The 23,001-nt window shown below is 45.2% G+C and overlaps 1 protein-coding gene across 1 annotated transcript in view, besides 2 other annotated features; it reads right to left on the reverse strand.

Moving 5' to 3' along the window:
- Positions 1 to 19,509, reverse strand: part of DNAJC11 (DnaJ heat shock protein family (Hsp40) member C11) — a 67,647-nt gene extending 48,138 nt beyond the window's left edge. The window contains exon 1 of the mRNA NM_018198.4: positions 19,422 to 19,509. Within this exon, the coding sequence (NP_060668.2) occupies positions 19,422 to 19,493 (72 nt within the window). The 5' untranslated portion in view covers positions 19,494 to 19,509. The remainder of the gene's footprint in view (positions 1 to 19,421) is intronic.
- Positions 12,142 to 12,436: a silencer, noted in NCBI's record as "tiled region #8512; K562 Repressive non-DNase unmatched - State 17:Gen3'". NCBI's record gives its function as "represses a minimal TATA promoter and a strong SV40 promoter by Sharpr-MPRA in K562 cells {active_cell/tissue: K562}" and the evidence as "EXISTENCE:reporter gene assay evidence [ECO:0000049][PMID:27701403]".
- Positions 19,296 to 19,745: a silencer, noted in NCBI's record as "silent region_173". NCBI's record gives its function as "represses an Ori minimal core promoter by ATAC-STARR-seq in GM12878 lymphoblastoid cells {active_cell/tissue: GM12878}" and the evidence as "EXISTENCE:reporter gene assay evidence [ECO:0000049][PMID:35858748]".

Genomic DNA, 23,001 nt, shown 5'->3' on the forward strand with positions numbered 1-23,001 from the left:
ATCTAAATATTTTCTACAGGATTAAGTTATTCAGATGCTAGAAAGCCAGGGTATTTGTGCGAGTTTATCAGGGGTTCTAAACAAGGAATTCTGAAGGACTCCAAGAGGAAGACAATAAACGTGACTGGAAAGACGTGCAGAGGACATTGGCCCATCGGTCCCACATGCCTGAGGGGGCAGCGGTGCTGGGGCCCGGGTTCTGCTCCCTCAAGCCCATCTCCTCAGCCCTAGACCAGGCTCAGGCCAGCTTCATCTGAGGAGTAGGTGATGGCGTGGGTGACCTCCAGGAGCCTTCTGGCTCTAACTTTACTCGATTCTGCTATTCAGAAAAGAAACAAGGCTGGACGCAATGGTTGACACGTGTAGACCTAGCACTTTGGGAGGCAGAGGTGGGCAGATTGCTTGAGCCCACAGGTTCAAGACTAGACTGGGTAACATGGCGAAACCCCATATCTACCCAAAATACAAAAATTACCTGGGCGTGGAGGCGCTTGCCTGTGGTCCTACCTGGAAGGCTGAGGTGGGAGGATCACCTAAGCCTGGGGAGGCTGAGGTTGCAGTGAGCTATGACTGCACCACTGCACTCCAGCCTGGGTGACAGAGGGGGAAAAAAAACTAGCTAGACCCAAGCCATTCAGCTTGCCCTTTAAAGCAGGCCACAGAGAGCTTCCCGCTGGTTTGGAGAGAGGCAACTCTGCTGCATGCCATTTTAAAGTAGGAGCTCCTTGAAGGTTCCATGAACTACTCTGTCAGAATAGGGTCAAGGATCTTGCTGAATGAGCAGCTCCTGGCCTCTGAGAATTGGTGAGACCCCACTCCGCGGCAAATCTCTTTCTCCCATCTTCCCTTTGGTGCAGACTTCAGGGACGGCACTGCCAAACAGGGGCTGGCTGCCTGTCTTCCAGCCATGCTCATGTGGTTCGCTCTGGGGCAACACAGCCTTCCATTCTGCTAGTAGAGAATGCAGGTGTGGCAGTCAACGGCCCATGTTTGGATGCAGGATCTGTCACTTCCAAGCTTTGTGACCATGGCAAGTGAGATTTCTGGCATTTAGTCTTCTCCTCCATAAAAGGGGATGACAACCCTTGCAAGGACAGTGTGAGAATGAAACCAGACAGAGACTATGAAGTGCTTCACACAGTGCCCAACACACAGCAAAAACTTAGGAATTATAGCTCCTTTAAGCCCCTTTCTGTTTCATCACCTGCAAACTGTGGACAATAGTGCTTCTTTCTGAGTCTTTGTGAGGCGTAATTGAGATAATACAAGCATGAGTGCCTAACAATGTCCAGCTCATACTAGGACCATAACCACTTTTGTTATTACCATCATCACAATTCAGTTGTGGTATCTTTTTGGCAACAGGAGTACTGAAACTGGAACAATTCAGAGGGCACCGCCCTGGTGCATGGATAACGGAAACATTCATTCATGAAGCAGTCCTGCTTGTGAAAATTCATTGTGCTGTATACTCAGGAGATGACCACTTTTCTGCATGTATATTCTATTTCTATAAAAATACAAGGTTCTCTAGAAGAGGTGGGCCTCCATATTTCCATCTCTGCATTTTCTCCTTTTTCTTCTTGCTGTAGTGTTTTGTTTTCCTCCCAACTTTAAATGCATTTCTTGCTACACTTATCAATATACCACCTATACCAAACCCTGGTGTTTCAAACATAAATCATGGGAAAATAATCTTTTCCAGGTAGGTTTACTTATGTGATGATGTAAAAGGGACTTATTTTTTTTCCCACACGGCCATTACAAATCATTTTCTTTTTTTTTTTTTTTGAGATGGAGTTTCACTCTGCCACCCAGGCTGGAGTGCAGTGCTGTGATCTCAGCTCACTGCAGCCTCTGCCTCCTGGGTTCAAGTAATTGTCCTGCCTCAGCCTCCCAAGTAGCTGGGACTACAGGCGCACGCCACCATGCCCAGCTAATTGTTTGAATTTTTAATAGAGATGGGATTTCATCGTGTTGGCCAGGCTGGTCTTGAACTCCTGACCTCAGGTGATCCGCCCGCCTCGGCCTCCCAAAGTGCTGGGATTACAGGCGTGAGCCACTGCACCCAGTCACAAATCATTTTCTTTCTGCAAATTTTAATTGTCCTTTTTTGTGTCTCATAAAGTTACAAGTACTGGATTAGACAGATTGACTGACTCTCAGTTAGACTGCTATTTCCTGGTTATTAAAATTAAACTAGATGACAAGAGAGTAGAATATCTACTCTGCAAGACATTCTTTAATCTTATTAATAAATGGCTTAATATGCTATTAAGTAATGTAAATAAGATGTTTCATTTTTAATAAATATCACATTCAATAAAAGGTTAGATTGGTCCTTTCATTAAAACTGAATAGCTAAGGTCACTGGTTCGATATTTCATAAATGAGAACCTCTTTCACTCTTACAGAAATACTGTTATTTCAAAATGCAATGAGATTATCATTAAGAATGACACCTAAAGGTACATTCTTATCCTAAAATTCTGTAACAAAAATTAAGAAATGTATCATACTTTAAGTCTATAATCTTTCATCATCTCAATCACCTGGTTATATTTTCTGGATAGACTATATGTTAGGCCCCAAATTAAGTCCCAATAGACTTTAAAGACTGACATCATACAAAATATCTTCTCCTACCACAAGAGGATGAAGTCAGAAGTCAATAACAGGGCTGGGTGCAATGGCTCACACCAGTACAGTAATCCCAGCACTTTGGTATCCCAAGGTGGGAGGATCGCTTGAGGCCAGGAGTTCAAGACCAGTTTGAGCAACATAGCGAGATCCTGACTCTACAAAAAAATTTAAAAAAATTATCCAGGTGTACTTCCAGCACCTCAGGAGGCTAAGGCAAAATAAGCTAAAACATGTCTGGATAATATGTCTGTACCACGATTGCATTTGGTTAGGCTAGGCTAGATCAGTGGTTCTCAAAGTGTGGTCTGGGGCATCCCAGGAATCTCTGAGACCCCTTCAGGGATCCACAAAGTCAAAACTATTTTTCTAATAACACGAAGCTGTTATTTGCCTTTTTCACTCTCATCCTTTCTTCAGTGTACAGTGGAATCTTAAGGTTACAGGATGTGTGATGATCTTGGGAACAAACGTGAGCCTAAAAGAGGCAATCCTTCAAGATGGATCCTGACATACCTAAATTTAAAATAGTCAGGTGGCCTTTTGCTGACTAGAGGTCGCACAGAGTTTTCCAAAATCCACATCTTTTTATCTTTGGAGCTCACCCACCTCAATCAATCCGAGCTCCTCTGCCCCAGCCAATCAGGACTCACCTGTATCAACCAATCAGAACTAAGCAAGTTTCTATCCTTCATTTACATAAATGGACCTGACTGGGAACCCAGGCAGGAACTTTGGCTATAAAACCTGAGTTTTCCTTTTGTTCTCTGGAACCCACCTTTGTTTTATACTGGAGGCTGGGTTTCCCCGGTTTGCAAAGTATTCATTGGAGTAAAATCTCTTTTTTCCAAATTATCTTTCAGAGAACTTTTAGTTACAATATCATTGTTCTGATGTTTAATGGAATGTGTGTACATGTCTTATGTTTTCTAGAAATTTCTAAGGTTGGTATAAATACAAGAGTTTAAATAAATACAAGAGTTTTGAGATTAACTCAATTAGCTCTCAGTTCCTTGACTGTGCTATCGTTGGTTCTATTTGCGGTGATGTCTGTGTATCTATAACCTCATTATTGTCCAATACAGTCATTTTAAATCCTTAAACGTTTTCCTTGTGCTTCTACTGAAATACATTTGTATTTGTGTCTTATTTTACAACAATATTTTAGCAATTACTCAGTTTTAATTTCTGACTAAATATCGATAGCTATAATTCACATAAACAAAAGCTCTTTGGGATCCTCAATAACTTAATAACTTAAGAATGTAAAGGATAACATTAAGAATGTAAAGGAATAACTTAAGAATAACTTAAGAATGTAATAACTTAAGAATGTAAAGGAATCCTAACACCAAATAACTTAAGAATGTAAGGAATAACTTAAGAATGTAAAGGAATCCTAACACCAAAAAGCTTGATAACTGCTGGGCTAGATGATACTGCAGTAACAAACAATCCAAAAATTTCAATGGCTTATTTCTCTCTCACTTTACATGTCCATCTGAGGCCAGCTAGTACAGTTTGGCAATGTCTTCAGGTCCCAGGATGACACAGCAGTCATCCTGTGCCAATCACCAAGGCAGAGGGGACAGCAGGCTCCCTGGCTCACACTGGCATTTCAATGCTTGGACCTAGAAGTGACACACCTCACTTCCACTGACATCACCAGCTAGAACTAGTCCCAAGGTCTCACTTGACCACAAGGACACTAACTAGCAAGTGCAGTCCTACCATGTGCTGGGCAAGCAAAGAACCAACCACATTGGGTGAACGGTACTTATACCTACCATGATGATGATATTTAATTTGATACTTTGAAGACTGAATAGAGCATGCAAATAACAACTTAATAACACCTCATATTTATATTCACTTTGGGAATATTAAAGCCACCAGGTTTTTTGTTGCTTTAGCCTGTATTTTCAAACTCGAACTTCCAGGCGATGTATCTGTATTACTAAATTTCACCAATGAAGGCTCCACAAACTATATTCTACTGGATTTTGGGAAGTTTGCCTGATTACCACAATTGAAGATTCATTACTGTCCATATGTTCCCCAATAATCTGATGGAAAGAAACTGCATCAGCTCATAAAAACCTGCAGTGTTTATTATGATAGTTGGTGCTTACGCACTTTAAAAGAAAAAGCAGATTTCAGAGCTAATTAACACCAAGACAGCATGGGTGCTTTGTGCTGAGTAAGAGCTGTTCTACGGAGAGAAAGGGTGTCACATATTATTTGGTGTCATTTAGTAGATACTGATTATACTAAGAGACCAAGCCACTTACTTATCAGGCATTAAAAAGCAACCACTTAACTGGACTTGGTAAAAAAAAAAAAATTCCCTATTTCATTTTGTAAAGGTTCCAACCATATAGCCTGAGGCTTTACACAATACAGTCCCTTTTTTTTTTTTTTTTTTTTGAGACAGAGTCTCGCTCTGTCGCCCAGGCTGGAGTGCAGTGGCATGATCTCGGCTCACTGCAAGCTCCGCCTCCCGGGTTCATGCCATTCTCCTGCCTCAGCCTCTTGAGTAGTTGGGACTACAGGTGCCCGCCACCATGCCCGGCTAAATTTTTGTATTTGTTAGTAGAGACGGGGTTTCACCGTGTTAGCCAGGATGGTCTCAATCTCCTGACCTCGTGATCCGCCCACCTCGGCCTCCCAAAGTGCTAGGATTACACGCGTGAGCCACTGTGCCCGGCCACAGTTCCTCTTATTCCCAGCTCCGCCATATCCTGATGGCATTTTTCCTGCTCAACGCCCCCCTTCTCTCATTTTCATTCACATGTAGAATATCTTTGGAAAGTCTGGAAATATGGGATTCATCGTCAAACAGAAATAAACCCCAATGATGTATTTGGAATCATACAACAACATCAAGCACTGTGTAGACTGGAGTAACTCATTCTGTCTGACTGATCTCCACAGGAACAATGCAAGTAGAACAGGATTTAACGTGAGACTAACCTGTATCTACGGTACAAATGCAGCTCCATTTAATTGACAAAAACAAAACAAAACAAAAAAATAACCAAATACCATACAAAAAAATATATCTGATCCATCTGAAACTTGTTTTCTTTTACAAATGTCATTAGTGGTGCTAGTGCAAAAGGTGATAAAGTAACCTTTTCCCACCACAATAAGAAACATAAGAGGAAGATAATCAATATCTGCCAGATGAAAAGGACAAGCCCAGCGAAAGGGAAAAGCCATTGTTTCATCTTTTGGCATGCTCTTCAGTCCTGGACTGAGTCTCCATAAGCCCTGACTCACTCTGGAGCCTGAGGATAAAGGCATATGTTTGAATTTGCTTTCTTCCTCTTGTACCTGACTTAGATTTACCAAATTAACAACAAATAAATTCCTTCCAATAATAAGTTCCTCTAGAATTTGATTGCTAAAATTGCAATGTATTCCTCAAGAATACCAGTAGACAAGGTGAGTATGTCATTAGCAAATACTTATCCCTTCAATCAGTAAGTTTACTGAATGTCAACCGGCTTTAGAAACCACTAGGGGCACAAAAGAAATATAATATGGTCCGTAGCTCAAAGAAATTACACATAGATCCCTATCTATTTCCTATTCCCCACCCCCCAAAAAAACTCCATGCAAACATTGATTTAACTGAACAATATAAAACAGGAATGCTAACATTAATGAGGCAGAAAGAAGTTCACAGAAGTCAGAATGCAAAGAAAACTTCATGGAGGTGGTGAGACCCCAATGAGAACACAAAGGTGGACTCTGATCTGCTTTGGGTGTCCAAGATGGGCTGCAGCATTTCAGGGGAAAATAATAACAGGCCGGTGTTGGGGACAGAAACACAGAACACTGACCAAACCAGCAGGCGTAAAGGGGCATAAGAAGGCAGGAAGTAGGTAAGAAACTAATTTGGACACCCATCTGTCTGCTCAATGTATTCAGCAAACATTTGTTAAGTACCATTATGTGCCTGGCACTGTGCAGGGGATATAATGGTGACTCAGACAGCCACGGCCCCTGACCACACGGTGCTTCCTCTGCGGTGGAAGAGGGCAGAACATCACCACAAAGTAGCCAGAAAATACACAAAACATCTAATTTATACAGGGCTTTAAAAATGGAGCCAAGGAGTTTGACCCTGACCCAAGAAATAAGAGGAAGTCATACAAGGTTTCTGGGTAGAGAAATAATGTCACCAGTATTATTTGTTAAGATTAATTTGGTACAGCTTGACTGAAACAGACAACAAACAAACAAAAAACAAAACCAGAGAGAGCTAAAGGAAACAGCAGCAGAAATTCAAGGCTGAGGTTGTGCGGCCAGCAGCCTGGAAGCTGAAAGGAAATGAAGGATCAGAGTCTGCTGAAGTCCTAGAGGATTCACGGATCTACGGGACAGTTACTGAGTATGAAATGGAAAAGAATCAATGAGCATTCCAGGGTTTTGGCTCGAATATGGGTTAGGGAGAAATTGGGAGGTAGTCAGGCTTGGGGCAGAGGTGAATTTGAACACCTAGGTGGCGTGATGTCCAGAAGGCAGATAGAGATGAAGGGTTGAAGCAAGAGACTTAAAAAGGGGGCTCACGCCTGTAATCCCAGCACTTTGGGATGCTGAGGCGAGCAGATCACCTGAGGTTGGGAGTTCCAGACCAGCTTGACCAACATGGAGAAACCCTGTCTCTGGTAAAGATACAAAAAAACAGCCAGGCATGGTGGCGCATGCTACTCAGGAGGCTGAGGCAGGAGAATTGCTTGAACCCAGGAGGCGGAGGTTGTGGTGAGCTGAGATTGCACCATTGTACTCCAGCCTGGGCAACAAGAGCGAAACTCCGTCAAAAAAAAAAAAAAATCCAAGGAGGTGAGGACTGAACTGGAGAAAGGGCTATGTAAGGAGGACAGGGAATGTGCAACTGGCAAAGTGAAAAGGAAGGACCGAGACGCATCACAGAGCTTTAAAGGCTTGTCAATGGTGTCACAAATGCATTTACACAGATTTACAGCTAACAAAATAATTCCACTATTTCCTCACTTAATACTTTTAATACTCAAAACGCCTTGAGGTTGGTATCAGACTCCCATTTTACAGATAAAAATCCCGAGGATCGGAAAGATCAAGTGACTTATTGAAGATGGAGGAGGAGTTTATTTGGTTATGGACCCCTAACCCGAAAGATTGTTAGAAACTAATAATGTGTAGCCTAACTCAAACCAAACTTAGTTCATGAAAGTGAAAGGCAACATAGAAGGAAGAGGCGTTTACAATATATATATATACCAGATCAACGATTCATCCAAATTATATAAGTAACCAATAAAAGCCTTCCTTATTAATGGCTATGCTCATGACACTAATAGAAATACACGGCATTCATTTGACAGTCGCATATCCACTGCTATGTCAAGCATTTCCATGCACTCCCACTTCATTCCCACAAAAGCTCTACGACAGTAAAACTGTCTGGATTTTCTGGATGAACGGGCTCAGACAGGTTAGGTAATTTGCCCCCCACAAAACCTGCTAGAAACTCAAACTTGGATCTGACTCCTGCGGCTGTGCTCTCTATCTTCACAATGACCCCTTTTGAAGCTCCACCACTGTCCCAGGACATTCAAATCATCACCAATGAATGCTCCTTGATGCTTAAACACGCAAGGGGTGGGCTAGGTGATTTCAGTTGTCCTTCACTTAAAACCCCTGAATTGCCTGGGCGTGGTGGCTCACGCCTGTAATCCCAGCACTTTGGGAGGCTGAGGTGGGCGGATCACGAGGTCAGGAGATCGAGACCATCCTGGCTAACAGAGTGAAACCCCGTCTCTACCAAAAATACAAAAAATTAGCTGGGCGTGGTGGCGGGCGCCTGTAGTCCCAGCTACTCGGGAGGCTGAGGCAGGAGAATGGTGCAAACAAACAAAAACCCTGAATTCTATCACATCTTTGTTGAGGACAGAGGTCAGGCTGACCTACACTGATTTTGGAAGTTTGGCTCCTACAGCCATTTTAGGTTTCACTTTGGAAAGAGCTTAGCAGAGAAATAATCAAATCACAAATGAGTCAGAAAAGCTGAACAAAGAAACAGATAAAACAATTCTAAAAAGTTTCTACAAATAGGAACAATTTTTGAAACTTAAGTGAGTTCTACTTAACACAGAGTTAAGGAAAAAACTTACAAAACACAATACCTCCAAGATGGCAATATAAATTTGAAAAAAAGATTACACAATTAGTAACAACAGAATCCCAAAGACTGAAAAAAAAAAAAAAAAGCAGGAAGCACATCACCTGTAAGGTTTACGGGGCAGAGAAGGAATCAGGTCTTGCAGCACACATCTCGGCTACAATCACAGAATTCAAGAACAAATGGGCCCAAGGTGCAAAAATCCTGACTCCCAATCAGAGGTCATTGCAAGGGCTCAGGAAATCTTCTGCTACCATTGTACAACTTGGTTTTCATTACTCTTCCTGGTCATGTTCATATATATATTTGTTGCCCTTGAGACTAATAGAAAATCAAAAGGCCCCAGTCTCTAGAAACAAGCTCCAGAGTTGCACCAAAATTGATGGCTCAGATCCTATCTTCACAGTAAGAAATCGGCTTATTTCTCCCTAAAAGCCTGACCTTATACCTTCTGTCATTCGTGTTCATCCGTTATACCCTGCCTACTCATGCAGACTTCTTGTGGTTGATCTCTATTGGCTTGGCATTTTACTGCTGAAGAATTTTCTGGCTCCTGTCAACTAGGGAGGGTAGGCTGCACACTCAAAACATGCAGAAGTGGTTCCAACAGTCCATGAGCCAAACAGGAATCCAGCTGTCAGATTTTCATCTCGAAGGAGGTTCCACTCCAAGCTGCAAGCTCCTTCCAGGGACTGCAATCTGTACCAGGCATATGCTGTAACAGTGGTAATAATGCAGCAATGTTCTCAATTGTCTTCTTTTTAAGAAATGTGTGACTCCTTTAAAAAATATATGCTATTTTATTTTTTCATCTGTTGTCTTACATCCTTTCTTAAACAAAGGTGTAAGTAAGTAAAATTAAAATGAAAGGTTAATAAAAAGCAGACAATAAAATTCTACAGCCAAGCAAAGCATGTTGCTCTCATGTCCCGTTTTCCATTGTTTTATTACTAAATTCACAGCAAATACAAAAGTTTTCCATTGAATTCTCTTTAAGAAAGAAAATAAAAGAGGTGTTTTGGTAGATAATGCAAAATTAGAGCATTAACATTTCAAGAAGCAATTGTTTGAAATGCCCAAAGCAGAAAATAACTGGCTTATAGATCATTAAAGAAACACATTGTGAAATGTAACCTCACGTTTGCCAATCACATTATGAGATGACATTGGAAGTGGTGGGGCATCCTCAACAGCCCCCTCCCTGCACACAGGCAGCTTCTCTAAACTCCACTTCCCGGGCACCCTCTTGGGCCCACCCCTGCCCCCAGCTCTGCCTCCTCTCTGCTTGGCTCACAACTATCCTATCTTTACCCCAAACACCCAAAAAATGTTATCCTTGAGCCTGCACCCTACTCCCATACTTAGCCCCAACTTCCAGGAAAGCTCCCTATCCCCATGTCAACTTTCCAGGAAGCACAAGTTCAGAGAGATCACTGTCTTTTAAAAAGAACAAACTCAGTGTTTTGAACAGAAAGTAAAAAATGCTTCAGGAATTTTTTTTTTTTTTTTTTGAGATGGAGTTTTGCTCTTGTTGCCCAAGATGGAGTGCAATGGCACGATCTTGGCTCACTGCAGCCTCTGCCTCCCGGGTTCAAGTGAATCTCCTGCCTCAGCCTCCCATGTAGCTGAGATTACAGGCATTTGCCACCACGCCTGGCTAATTTTTGTATTTTTAGTAGAGATGGGGTTTCTCCATGTTGGTCACGCTGGTCTCAAACTCCCGACTTCAGGTGATCTGCCCGCCTCAGCCTCCCAAAGTGCTGGGATTACAGGCATGAGCCACTGCGCCCAGCCTCTTTTTTTTTCTTTGACAGAGTCTTGCTCTGTTGCCCAGGCTGGAGTCCAGTGGCACAATCTTGGCTCACTGCAACCTCCGCCTCCTGGGTTTGAGCAATTCTCCTGTCTCAACCTCCCAAGTAGCTGGGATTACAGGCGAGCATCACCACACCCGGCTAATTTTTTTTTTTCGTATTTTTAGTACAGACAGGGTTTCGCCATGTTAATAAGGCTGGTCTCAAACTCCTGACCTCAGGTGATCTGCCCGCCTCCGCCTCCCAAAGCGTTGGGACTGTAAGGCGTGAGCCACCACACCCAACCTCAGGAATTTCATAAACTAATGCTTAGCATACATTCTAGCACTATGATTTTTAGTAATATTACAAGTGGATAGCAAAGTTCATCCTTAGCCAGGATGAAGCATACCAAGTATGTCTTTCACATTTTTAAATTTATTTATGTACATGTATGTCTTTCACATTTTTATTTATTGTTATATTATCGTTTAGATGGATTCTTGCTCTGTCGCTCAGGCTGGAGTGCAGTGGTGGTGCGATCTTGCTTCACTGCAAACTCCATCTCCCGGGTTCAACCAATTCTCTTGCCTCAGCCTCCCGAGTAGCTGGGATTACAGACGCCCACCACCACACCCAGCTAGTTTTTGTATTTTTAGTAGAGACAGGGTTTCACCATGTTGGCCAGGCTGATCTCGAACTCCTGACCTCGTGATTCACCCGCCTCAGCCTCCCAAAGTGCTGGGATTACAGGCATGAGCCACCACGCCCAGCCTTTTATTTATTATTATTTTTATAGACGGAGTCTCGCTTTTTATAGACAAAGTCTCGCTCTGTCGCCCAGCCTAGAGTGTGGTGGTGTGACTGCAGCTCACTGCAGCCCCAAACTTCTAGGTTCAAGCAATCCTCCTGTAACCAAGTACCCCCATTTTTTTTTTTTTTTTTTTTTTGGAGACAGAGTCTCGCTCTGTTGCCCAGGCTGGAGCACAGTGGTGCGATCTCTGCTCACGGCAACCTCCACCTCCCAGCAGAGATTCTCCTGCTTCAGCCTTATGAGTAGCTGGGATTACAGGCGCCCGCCATCAAGTCTGGCTAAGTTTTGTATTTTTAGTAGAGATGGGGTTTCACCATGCTGGCCAGGTGGGTCTTGAACTCCTGACCTCAAGTGATCCGCTGGCCTCAGCCTCCCAAAGTGCTGGGATTCACAGGCATGAGCTACCATGCCCAGCCCCATTTTTTCTAAGAGATAGTTTAATTATTTTCTCCTCTCCCCCTTTCCCCGGTACCCTGCTTCCTACTTAGCCCTTTAGAAATGCAAATATAACCTTTCCCCTCCCCCTCACCAGACATCTTCTATGGGGCAAGTTCAGCTAACTACGTGCTCCAAGACGGATCTCTTGACAGTGGATTTGCAGACCAAATCATGTCCCCATGGCCACTTTTACTTCTTTCTGCCCAGGAAGATGCCAACTCAATTGCCAGTTAGATAAAGTACCCAGATAGCAGGGGGACCCCTGCCCTTGCTCATTTCCTCCTATACCTTATAAAAGTGCCTGCTTTCTGCTCTAAAAGTGAAGCGGTACAGCAGGACATCGTGCCCCTTCCCCAAGCTGACTTCAGAGTAAATTCACTGGCTTTGTATGCGCCTCACTCTTGTTAACTGGACTCTGCATGCGGTAAACAACTGACCTGCTTTTCGGCTGCACCTCCACCTTAGGCTGGACTACAGGTTACAGCTCATGCCACCATGCCCAGCTAATTAAAAAAAATTTTTTTTGGCTGGGCGCGGTGGCTCACACCTATAATCGCAGCACTTTGGGAGGCTGAGGCGGGCGGATCACAAGGTCAGGAGATCGAGACCATCCTGGCTAACACGGTGAAACCCCGTCTCTACTAAAAATACAAAAAAAAAAAAAAAATTATCCAGGCATGGTGGTGGGGGCCTGTAGCCCCAGCTACTCAGGAGGCTGAGGCAGGAGAATGGCGTGAACCCGGGAGGCGGAGCTTGCAATAAGCCGAGATCGCACCACTGCACTCCAGCCTGGGCAACAAAGCGAGACTCCGAATCAAAAAAAAAAAAAAAAAAAAAATCAGCTGGGCGTGGTGGCAGGTGCCTGTAGTCCCGGCTACTCGGGAGGCTGAGGCAGGAGAATGGCGTGAACCCAGATGGCAGAGCTTGCAATGAGCCGAGATTGTGCCACTGCGCTCCAGCCTGGGTGACAGAGCGAGACTCTCTCAAAAAAAAAAAAAAAAAAATTTTTTTTTTTAATTAAAGATGGAGTCTTGCTACGTTATGCCAACCCAGGCTGGTCTCAAACTCCTGGACTTAAGTTATCCTCCTGCCTTAGCCTCCTAAGGTGCTGGAATTACAGGTGTGAGCCACCCCCCAATCCTTATGTCTTTTTTTAAAGTAAGCAAAACTTCAAACTTATCAAAATCCAAGAAATAACAATATATATTAACTAAATACCTACTTATGACAGGCAATTTATATACATTCTCAGCACCTAGCAACGCACATACCACACAGGTCATCCTGGCCTACAGTAAGTGCTTAAGCCATTATTACCTGTTACCTACATTCTAACATTAAAGAAACTGATGGCCAGGTGCAGTGGCTCATGCCTGTAATCCCAGCACTTTGGGAGGCCGAGGCGGATGGATCACGACGTCAGGAGTTTGAGACCAGTCTGGCCAACATAGTGAAACCCTATCTCTACTAAAAAAAAAAAAAAAAAAAAAAAAAAAAAAATTAGCCGGGTGTACTGGTGTGTGCCTGTAATCCCAGCTACTTGGGAGGCTGAGGCAGGAGAATTGCATGAACCTAGGAGGTGGAGGTTGCAGTGAGCTGAGATTGCGCCATTGCACTCCAGCCAGGGTGACAGTGTGAGACTCCATCTCAAAAAAAAAAAAAGAAATTGAGAAACAGAAAGGTTAAATTACTAGCGTTGAAGCATAGAACTTCCAGAAGAGTAAAATGGGATTTGAATACTGGACTCCAGCTGCAAAGCCCTACATAGTGGCCTCCCTCTATCCCATTGTTAACTAAGAAGTACTGGTGCCTCCATTCTGCAGGTAAGTAGAGGCTGAGGTTAAATGACTCGTTGAAGGTCACACAAGAGGCAGGCAGCATGGGCTGAAATTCTTGCTTCTCAGCCTCTTGGCTTACAGAACACCCTATGGAATGCAGACATCTGAATAAGTTGTTTTTGGACAACCGAGGCTTAATTCTATGTGCCTGAGGCACACATTTAACTGGAGTCATTATAAATATCAAACTTTAACATAATGTAGTAGATGGAAAATGAAGGAACTGACCTTTTCAGAGCCATCTTTATTTTTTATTAAGACAAAATTAACTGCCCATCATGAAGTTTGATAAGAAAGCAATAAATGTGTAAACACACACCACCTCACTGCTTTAGGTATTTGAGTCGCTCAAATTGGCACAGTTGAGCCTTTTACATGTCAATTTCTGCAGATGGCTGAGTCAGTGGTCCTGATTGGAGGGTCTGCTGTCTCCTTCTTTGTGGGTGACTTTGACCCTAGGACAATCTTGCCAGTGACCAGGGGACCTTCCTCTACTCTTCTAGCCCTTCCTTTCCATCTGCAGCTCAAACTCAACTGTTGGGCCTCACTCTGTGGCTGTAACCTGCAGCTAAGGAAACCCCAACAACACACAATTGTGAAAATAATGATCTACCCTGTACCAGAGAAGGAATGAAAATGCAGGGACTTGGGGTAAACTTTTTACTGGTAGGTGATACTTTTGTACTTCTAGTTTCATGGCTGTTCTGGAAGGATGAAGATCTCAGAACACTGACCTCCATATATGGACTGCAAGAAAAAAACTATTTATTAACAACTTCATTTTTTACTTAACTGTGTTTTTCCAAAAGTGTTTAAAAGTTGAAAAGGAGGATGGCTCCTTAAGGTTAAAACAATTGGGACCAGAGGTCTTCAAACAGGTTACAAACACTGCAAAAATGAAATTCTTTCAAAGACAATGATAAAGTTAGAACTGTAGCCATTTGTCTTGGGAATAAATTAGGTTTGAAATGTGTCAATTAAATTTCCTAATTAATGGATCAGGTAAATTTAACTCTGATTTATAGTTAAGGAATCCTTTCTCCAAATAAATTTTGGAAAATCATCCTGGAAATCTCAGAGGAGTGAGATTTTAGGAACCAGATGATGCATCTAACACTAAACCAGAAAACCTGTCTGGCTTTGGTGTGCCCAGTGAGTGATAAAGTACTCCCTCCTCTCAGTGTGAGGCAGGCACGACAGATGATGGCCCTGCTCTGTAAACAGGAAATCTAGAAGGAGAATCATTAAAGATCATGTGTCTTGTCATAGGAGAACGGGGGGTCCTTTCCAGCTGCCTGCTTCACTCTCTCCAACGGCGGCAACAATGGGGTCTCCAACCTTTTAGCACCACGGACTGGTTTCATGGAAGATAATTTTTCCACAGACTAGTGGGAGTGGAATGAAACTGTTCCACCTGGGATCATCAGGCATTAGTCAAATTCTCATAAAGAGGACCTAACCTAGATCCCTTGCATGTGCAGTTCCCAATAGGGTTCATGCTCCTATGAGAAGCTAATGCCACCACCAATCTGACAGGCAGAGCTCAGGCGGTGATGCTTGCTTGCCCGATGCTAACCGCTTGCTTGCCCGACGCTAACCGCTTGCTTGCCCACCACTCACCTCCTGCTGTGCGGCCCAATTCCTAACAAGCCACAGACCAGTACTGGTCCATGGCCAGGGGGTTGAGGACCCCTGCTCTAGAATACAAATTTAAGGGGATATTTTAAAGTTTAAATCCTGGAGAGGGAGATTCTTCAGCTGATTGTTGACATTTCTATATTAATCCAATTATATACCTCTATTATGCTTATAATTTTTTTTTTTTTGAGACAGAGTCTTGCTCTGTCACCCAGGCTGGAGTGCAGTGGCGCAATCTCGGCTCACTGCAAGCTCCGCCTCCTGGGTTCACACCATTCTCCTGCCTCAGCCTCCTACAGGCGCCCGCCACCACGCCCGGCTAATTTTTTGTATTTTTAGTACAGACGGGGTTTCACCGTGTTAGTCAGGATGGTCTCCATCTCCTGACCTCGTGATCCGCCCGTCTTGGCCTCCCAAAGTGCTGGGATTACAGGCTTGAGCCACGCGCCCAGCCTATGCTTATAATTTTAAAGTAGGATTCCCTGGTTTTGTCTAGAATTGTTTCCATTTGAGATTTCTAAAGAAAACTCTCTGAACTCTACTGAACATTGAGAGTTTTGAGGACACTCTTTTGAAGGTACTTTGAAGTATCAGTGGGAACAGGGCCTTGCCTCTCACAGCTATACTTAAATGGCAACTACTCTAGAACTGACAGCAAACACACAAACAGGTATTAAGATATTCTTCCAACCACACATTAAGATTTAAGATTACTCTGACTTTTTTCCAACTAAATCACGTTATTTCAACTTCACGTTTGATTTCACACAAAAAATTCCAGCAAATATCAAGTTCAGACATCACCTTCAGAGCTTCTAATGGAATCCCGGGATGGAAAACCAGCACACCACACCTGAGTATGACATTTAACACCGAGTTTGCTGACGAAGACAACAGAAAGTGACTTCTGCAAGGGAGCATGTTTCATATGGATTTAACCTATAGCCATATAGCCATAAATATGGAAAGTGCCTTCACTCATTGGGAGAAGTAAAAAAAAAAAAAAAATTTAAGAAATATTTTTTGGCTGGGTGCAGTGGCTCATGCCTGTAATCCCAGCACTTTGGGAGGCTGAGATGGGTGGACTGCTTGAGCTCAGGAGTTTGAGACCAGCCTGGGCAACACAGTGAGACCCTGTCTCTACAAAAACTACAAAAATCAGCCAGCTGTGGTGGTGTGTGCCTGTAATACCAGCTACTCTGGTGGCTGAGGTGGGAGGATCACCTGAGCCGGGGAAGGTCGAGGCTGCTATGAGCCACGACTGCACCACTGCACTCCAGCCTGGGTGAAGTCTAATTATATATATAAATATATATATTTATATATAAATATTTATATCTATGTTTTTATATATACTTCATCCTTAAGTCTAATAACAGTGACAGGCCTGGCCAGGCATGGTGGTTCATGCCTGTAATCCCGGCACTTTGGGAGGCAGAGGTGGGAGGATCGCTTGAGCTCAGGAGACCAACCTGGGCAACACAGAGAGACCCTGTCTCTACAAAAGATACAAAAATTAGCTGGGTATGGTGGCATGTGCCTGTGGTCCTAGCTACTAGCGAGTCTGAGGTGGGAGCACCTGAGCCCGGGGAAGTCAAGGTTGCAGTGCACCATGATCCACCTCTGCACTTCAGCCTGGGCAACAGAGTGAGACCCTGTCTCTAAACAAACAAACAAAATTTCTTTGGCTCCCATCCGTAAGTCCAAAAACAATGACAGGCTCTACAGTTTCAGCAGTTTCAAGGTATACCTTTGACAAAATCTTCACCTAGGACTCTGGCTAAAACTATTACTCTAGACCTGCTTGATCATCTGCAGCAGCTGCCTACGGTTCAGTACGCCTGATAAATGGCTGCTCAATTACTGACAACCCAGACTAAGTACGAATGATTTCAGAAAGGCTGGCTTCATTTATTGCTTGACTTCTAAAAACTGGAAAAAAAGTATAACTAGCCAGACATCTTCATTTAAAGGGAAAGAGACTTAAGGCTAAATAAGTGATTAGCCCATTAAAACCTAGATGATGGGTTGATGGGTGCAGCAAACCACCATGGCTCATGTTTACCTATGTAACAAACCTGCACGTTCTGCACATGTATCCTGGAACTTAAAGTATAATTTAAAAAAAAAAGGAAAAAAAGGAGTGATTAGCCCGAAGTGTTGATTAATGAGAACAAGAACCCCCAGGTGCCCTATGGCAGCCTAACAAAATCTGCAATTCCCAAAGATATTTCACTGGACATTCTCATAGTACAGTGGCCCATACATTCGAGGGATTCTTTCATGAGGTGCTCAGTATCAAGCCTCTGAGCCCAAGCTAAGCCATCATATCCCCTATGACCTGCACATATACATCCAGATGGCCTGAAGCAACTGAAGATCCACAAAAGAAGTGAAAATAGCCAGGTCCTGCCTTAACTGAAGATATTCCACCATGGTGATTTACTCCTGCCCCACCCTAACTGGTCAATTGGCCTTATGACAATACACGCTCCCCGCCCTTGTGATAATGTACTTTGTGATATTCCGCCCTTAAGAAGGTACTTTGTAATATTCTCCCCACTCTTGAGAATGTACTTTGTGAGATCCACCCCCTGCCCACAAAAAATTGCTCCTAACTCCACCGCCTATCCCAAACCTATAAGAACTAATGATAATCCCACCACCCTTTGCTGACTCTCTTTTCGGACTCAGCCCATACGCACCCAGGTGATTAAAAAGGTTTATTGCTCACACAAAGCCTGTTTGGTGGTCTCTTCACACGGACGCGCGTGACACTCAAGGATACAGTACCAGAACTAGCAGCTTTGTAGTCCAAGGACTGGTAAGGTAAGGTGACAGACTAGCATGGAGCTCACAAGCTGGGCTCCAGAGTCAGACTGCCTGGGTTGAGTTCAGGCTCTTGCACTTTCTAGTAGTGTGACTTTAGACACACTACTTAATCTCTCTATGCCTTGGTTTCCTCAAGTGTAAATCAAGGGCTATCATAATACTTACCTTAAGAGCTATCCTCAGAATTAAATGAGATAACAGTACAAAGTTCATTCAGCATAGTGGTCCCACACAAGATAAGTTTGTATTATTAACATCACATAGACTAATATTTACTGACAACACACACTGAACCCGCTTTGGTTAGCATAGCCAAACTTGGCTAGCTTTCATTACCACTGGAAAACCTGAGAGATGGAATTAGGAATTCTCTGGCAGGGCTGAAAAGTCTGGACCCATCGGCTTAAAGAAACTGATCCACCTCATGACCTGACCCTGGAAGCCTTCTCGCCCTTCACACCTATCTCAACTCCAGACTAGTCAAGAACAAAGGAGTGTAGTGGGGCCCTACTACTGCCAGGCTATGTGAGACTCTCTCATGTTATCTTTTATTCGTTGAGGAGACAGGGTACAAGTGCTTGGTGTGAATGTTGAAGCTGTTGTTAGGGCACCACTTTTCTGGCCTAGGGCTTCTTCCTAATCTGCAGCCTCCGAGCCGAGGGTCTGTGTCCCGGAGGCTCTGCCTGCAATTTCTGGACATCGGGTCCAGGGGAATGAAAGAGGGCATGAGACGCATGCCTCTGAGGCTGGACCCACTTCAGAGGCAGAGCGTCCCCACGAAAGACTCGGGAACCGGAAAAAGCCCTAAGGACGTTCCCTAGTGGCCTTGACCTTGGTGGGTGAGACTCAGTTCGCCATCCTGCTGGCGGCGGGCGATGACACAGCCCCTCAGCCAGGACGAGTATGTGGGCTGAGCGCGAGACGGGGTCTCGGAGGACTGCTAACCCCACTACGGTGGCCTCCTCGGGGCCCCCGTTTCCTCTTGAGCGTGCGGGGGCCTCTGGCCCTACCCGGACACAGTGCACGCGGCGCACTGGCCTTCAGGAGCTGGGGCGGAGGCTGGCCCCGGAACCCCCGGCGGGAGGGTCTGGGCGGTGGGGACGCCTCCATCGGGCGGCTGGCGTGCACGTCGCCGGGGTCACGCGGCCTCCCCGACGGACCCGAGCCTCCCGTGGCGGGGGTGGGGCGGCCACCGCCAGCCCGGCCCTCCCGAACGACCGGGCTCGGCCTCAGCCCCCAGAGCGTCCAGCCGCTGGCCTCACCTCCCTGCGCACGTTCAGCAACGAGTAATAGTCTTCATTGTCCAGCTCCTCCTCGCTCAAGGCCGTCGCCATCTTCGCAACCTTTCACCCCGCCAAACCGGCAAGGCCGTGCTCAAGAGGGGCCAGTGATCCGCGTCAGGGACAGCGCGGGCCAGCCCGGCTGCGCCACAGCGGCCCCTGGCGGCCCGGAGCCGTCCGCGCCCGGCGGGAGTGCGCCTGCGCTTTGCGCCCCCGCGCGGCCTAGGGCGGGACGCGGCGCCTAGGCAGCCCTGGCGGGGTGACCACGCGGGTGTCTCTTCGTGCTCCCAATGGACGCGTGGCACGCGGCGTGGCTGCGTCCTCGGGGGCCTGAGATCCAGCCAGGACTCCCTAGGGCTTTTCCTGTACTAGAAAGGGAAACTTTGCTTTTTTTTTTTTTTTTTGAGACGGAGTCATACTCTGTCGCCCAGCCTGGTGTGTGTGCAGTGGCGCAATCCCGGCTCACTGAAGCCTCCACCTCCCGGGTTCAAGCGATTCTCCTGCCTCAGCCTCCCGAGTAGCTGGGACTCCAGGCGCGCGCCACCACGCCCAGTTAATTTTTTTGTATTTTTGGTAGAGACACGGTTTCACCATGTTGGCCAGGCTGGTCTGAGGCTCCTGAACTCAGGAGATCCTCGGCCTCCCAAAGTGCTGGGATTACAGGCATGAGCCACCGCGTCCTGCCTAGAAAGGGAAACTTTGAAGTCACCTCCAGGAGATTGTCATCCTCTGGGAGACAAACCCCTGTGATACCACCTGTTACCCCACTGGCCCCAAACTCCTGGAAGAAGCGCGAGGTGCCCCCAGTGCAGGGTGCATCCGGATCCTAGATATCCCCCAAATGACATTTGTTCCTACCTCCATTGTCTTTTCTCTTGGCCACCCAGAAGCCTTCCTGCCCAGAACAGGCCTCCTCATTTTAGTTATTTGTTATTGCTCTAATTTAGGAGCACCTGGCCATCTTTTCTGCTGCTTAAATGACAAAGCAATAACTATTTGGTTCCTGATATAATTGTCTCTGGCAGGCATGTGTACCTGCAGTCCCTACCCCAGAGCCATTCTCCTGTAAATTTCTCCCTTATAATTTATCGGTGGAGTCTAATTGATTTCAACCTGGTGCCTGCTGTTTGGTGCATTATTAAAGATGTCTTGGTTACAACAATCTAAATAATTTAAAGGTCTTCGAAATGACGCCATTGTCAAGGGAAGGTGGACAGCAGCCCACTCTTGCCACCTGTTTGGTTCCCGCTGACCTGCGCAAGTCTCAGAAACCTTTGTTGTTCCTTCACTAACCACCAGTCCATAGCCATCCCCGTTGCCCTTCATAAGCAGGTCTCCTGGGAAGCCCCGAACACCTGTCTGTGGATTTGAGAGGCTGATTTCTTTCTCTTTCTAATTTTTGGCCAGATGTGCACCATCTGGGCCTGTGTCTCATCCCTTCCAAGTTGCCCAGCCCTCTTAGGATCTTTTGGCATGAGACACTTCGGTGTGCTGAGACAGATTGTTCGGGTGGGTTGAGTCAGCCTGAAACAAACTGTCAGCCCAGGTTGTAAATTAAGGGCTATTTCTTTAGTTGTGTGAAGCTTCTCCACAACAGCTTCCATGGTCCATCAGCTCTTCCAGCAATGTTATGGGCTTTGCCTTTTTCTCCTTTGCAGAGAAAAGAGCTGTGGTTAGGGCCAAACTGCATGCTGACATTTGACAGTCTTTAAGAATTTCTTTCTTTTTTTTTTTTTTTGTTTGAGACAGAGTCTCACTCGGTCGCCCAGGCTGGAGTGCAGTGCCACGATCTTGGCTCACTGCAACCTCCGCCTCCCGGGTTCAAGCGATTCTCCTGCCTCAGCCTCCCAAGCAGCTGGGACTACAGGCGTGCGCCATCACGCCCAGCTAATTTTTGTATTTTTAGTAGAGACGGGGTTTCACCATATTGGCCAGGCTGGTCTCGAACTCCTGACCTCGTGATCCACCTGCCTCGGCCTCCCAAAGTGCTGGGATTACAGGCGTGAGCCACCGCACCCGGCCAAGAATTTCATACAGAGAGACTGGGGGTAAAAACAACAATGTGGAGACATTCCTTTTTCCCTTAGGTTTTTTTTTCTTTTTTCTTTTTTCTTTTTTTTTTGAGATGGAGTCTCGCTCTGTCGCCCAGGCTGGAGTGCAGTGGCACGATCTCGGCTCACTGCAAGCTCCACCTCCCGGGTTCATGCCATTCTCCTGCCTCAGCCTACTGAGTAGCTGGGACTACAGGCGCCTGCCACCACGCCTGGCTAATTTTTTTTTTTTGTATTTTTAATAGAGATGGGGTTTCACCATGTTAGCCAGGATGGTCTTGGTCTCCTGACCTAGTAATCCACCTGCCTCGGCCTCCCAAAGTGCTGGGATTACAGGCGTGAGCCACCGCGCCCGGCCTCCTTAGGTTTGTAGACATTAATTGGGCCATAATGCTTACTTGGGTAGAGAAGTTCTTTGCCATCCCTCCTCTGCTTTGGAAAACACAGCCTCTAGGAATTATATAAATGGAACATAACATATGTTTCACTACGCCCAGGTCTGTGTTTCTATGATTGAGAATGACCTGGTTTTTATCACCACTCAAACAAGATAAATAGTGACTCAGGAATGCTCTGTGGCTGTCCTCTCTTGGGCCCACGAGATTTTGTGTTATGGTTACTTGGAAAGTGGTGGTGATAAATAGAAAGCTAACTTAGATGCTCCACAGGCTTGAGGAATGTATCTGTTTCTGAGGCTGGCTCTCTCGTTTCTCTCCTCCAAAACCCTAATCTTCAACGGGCAAAATAATGGAAACCAAAGGCAGTACAAATTTATAAGTTAAAAACGCACATCCAACAAACTACTTACGCCGAGCAACTGACAAAACCCAGCTGCTTTAACTCATGCCTTGCACTTTGTTTTCTTTTTCTTTTCTCTTTCTTTTTTTTTTTTTTGAGACGGGGTCTCCCTCTGTCACCCAGGCTGCAGTACAGTGGTGCAATCATGGCTTGCTGCAGCCTCCACCTCTTCAAGCTTAGGTAATTCTCCCACCTCAGCCTCCATAGTAGCTAGGACTACAGGTGCCCGCCACCATACCTGGTTAAGCTTTGTATTTTTTGTAGAGACAGGGTCTTGCTACATTGCAGGGCTGGTCTGGAACTCCCGTCTCAAGTGATCTGCCCGCCTCAGCCTCTCAAAGTGCTGAGATGACAGGTGTGAGCCACCGTGCCTGGCCTTTTGGTTTCTTTTTGTTGGGTGAAACCACAAAACAGTCTGTAACATAGCTGTAAAGCAAAACTTAATAGGTGACATTTAAATATAAACTGATGTAATATATTTATGTAACTATACATACATGGGCATATGTATTTTATATTTACGCAAATATTATATGAGATATACGCATTTATGCAACTGCTAACAAATTCTCTCATCTTTATTTTATTTATTCTTTTGAGACAGAGTCTCACTCTGTTGCCCAGGCTGGAGTGCAGTGACATGATCTCTGCTCACCACAACCTCCACCTCCTGGGTTCAAGTGATTCTCATACCTCAGCCTCCCGAGTAGATG

The sequence above is a fragment of the Homo sapiens genome, chromosome 1, assembly GCF_000001405.40.
Source record: "Homo sapiens chromosome 1, GRCh38.p14 Primary Assembly".
Lineage (NCBI taxonomy): Eukaryota > Metazoa > Chordata > Mammalia > Primates > Hominidae > Homo > Homo sapiens.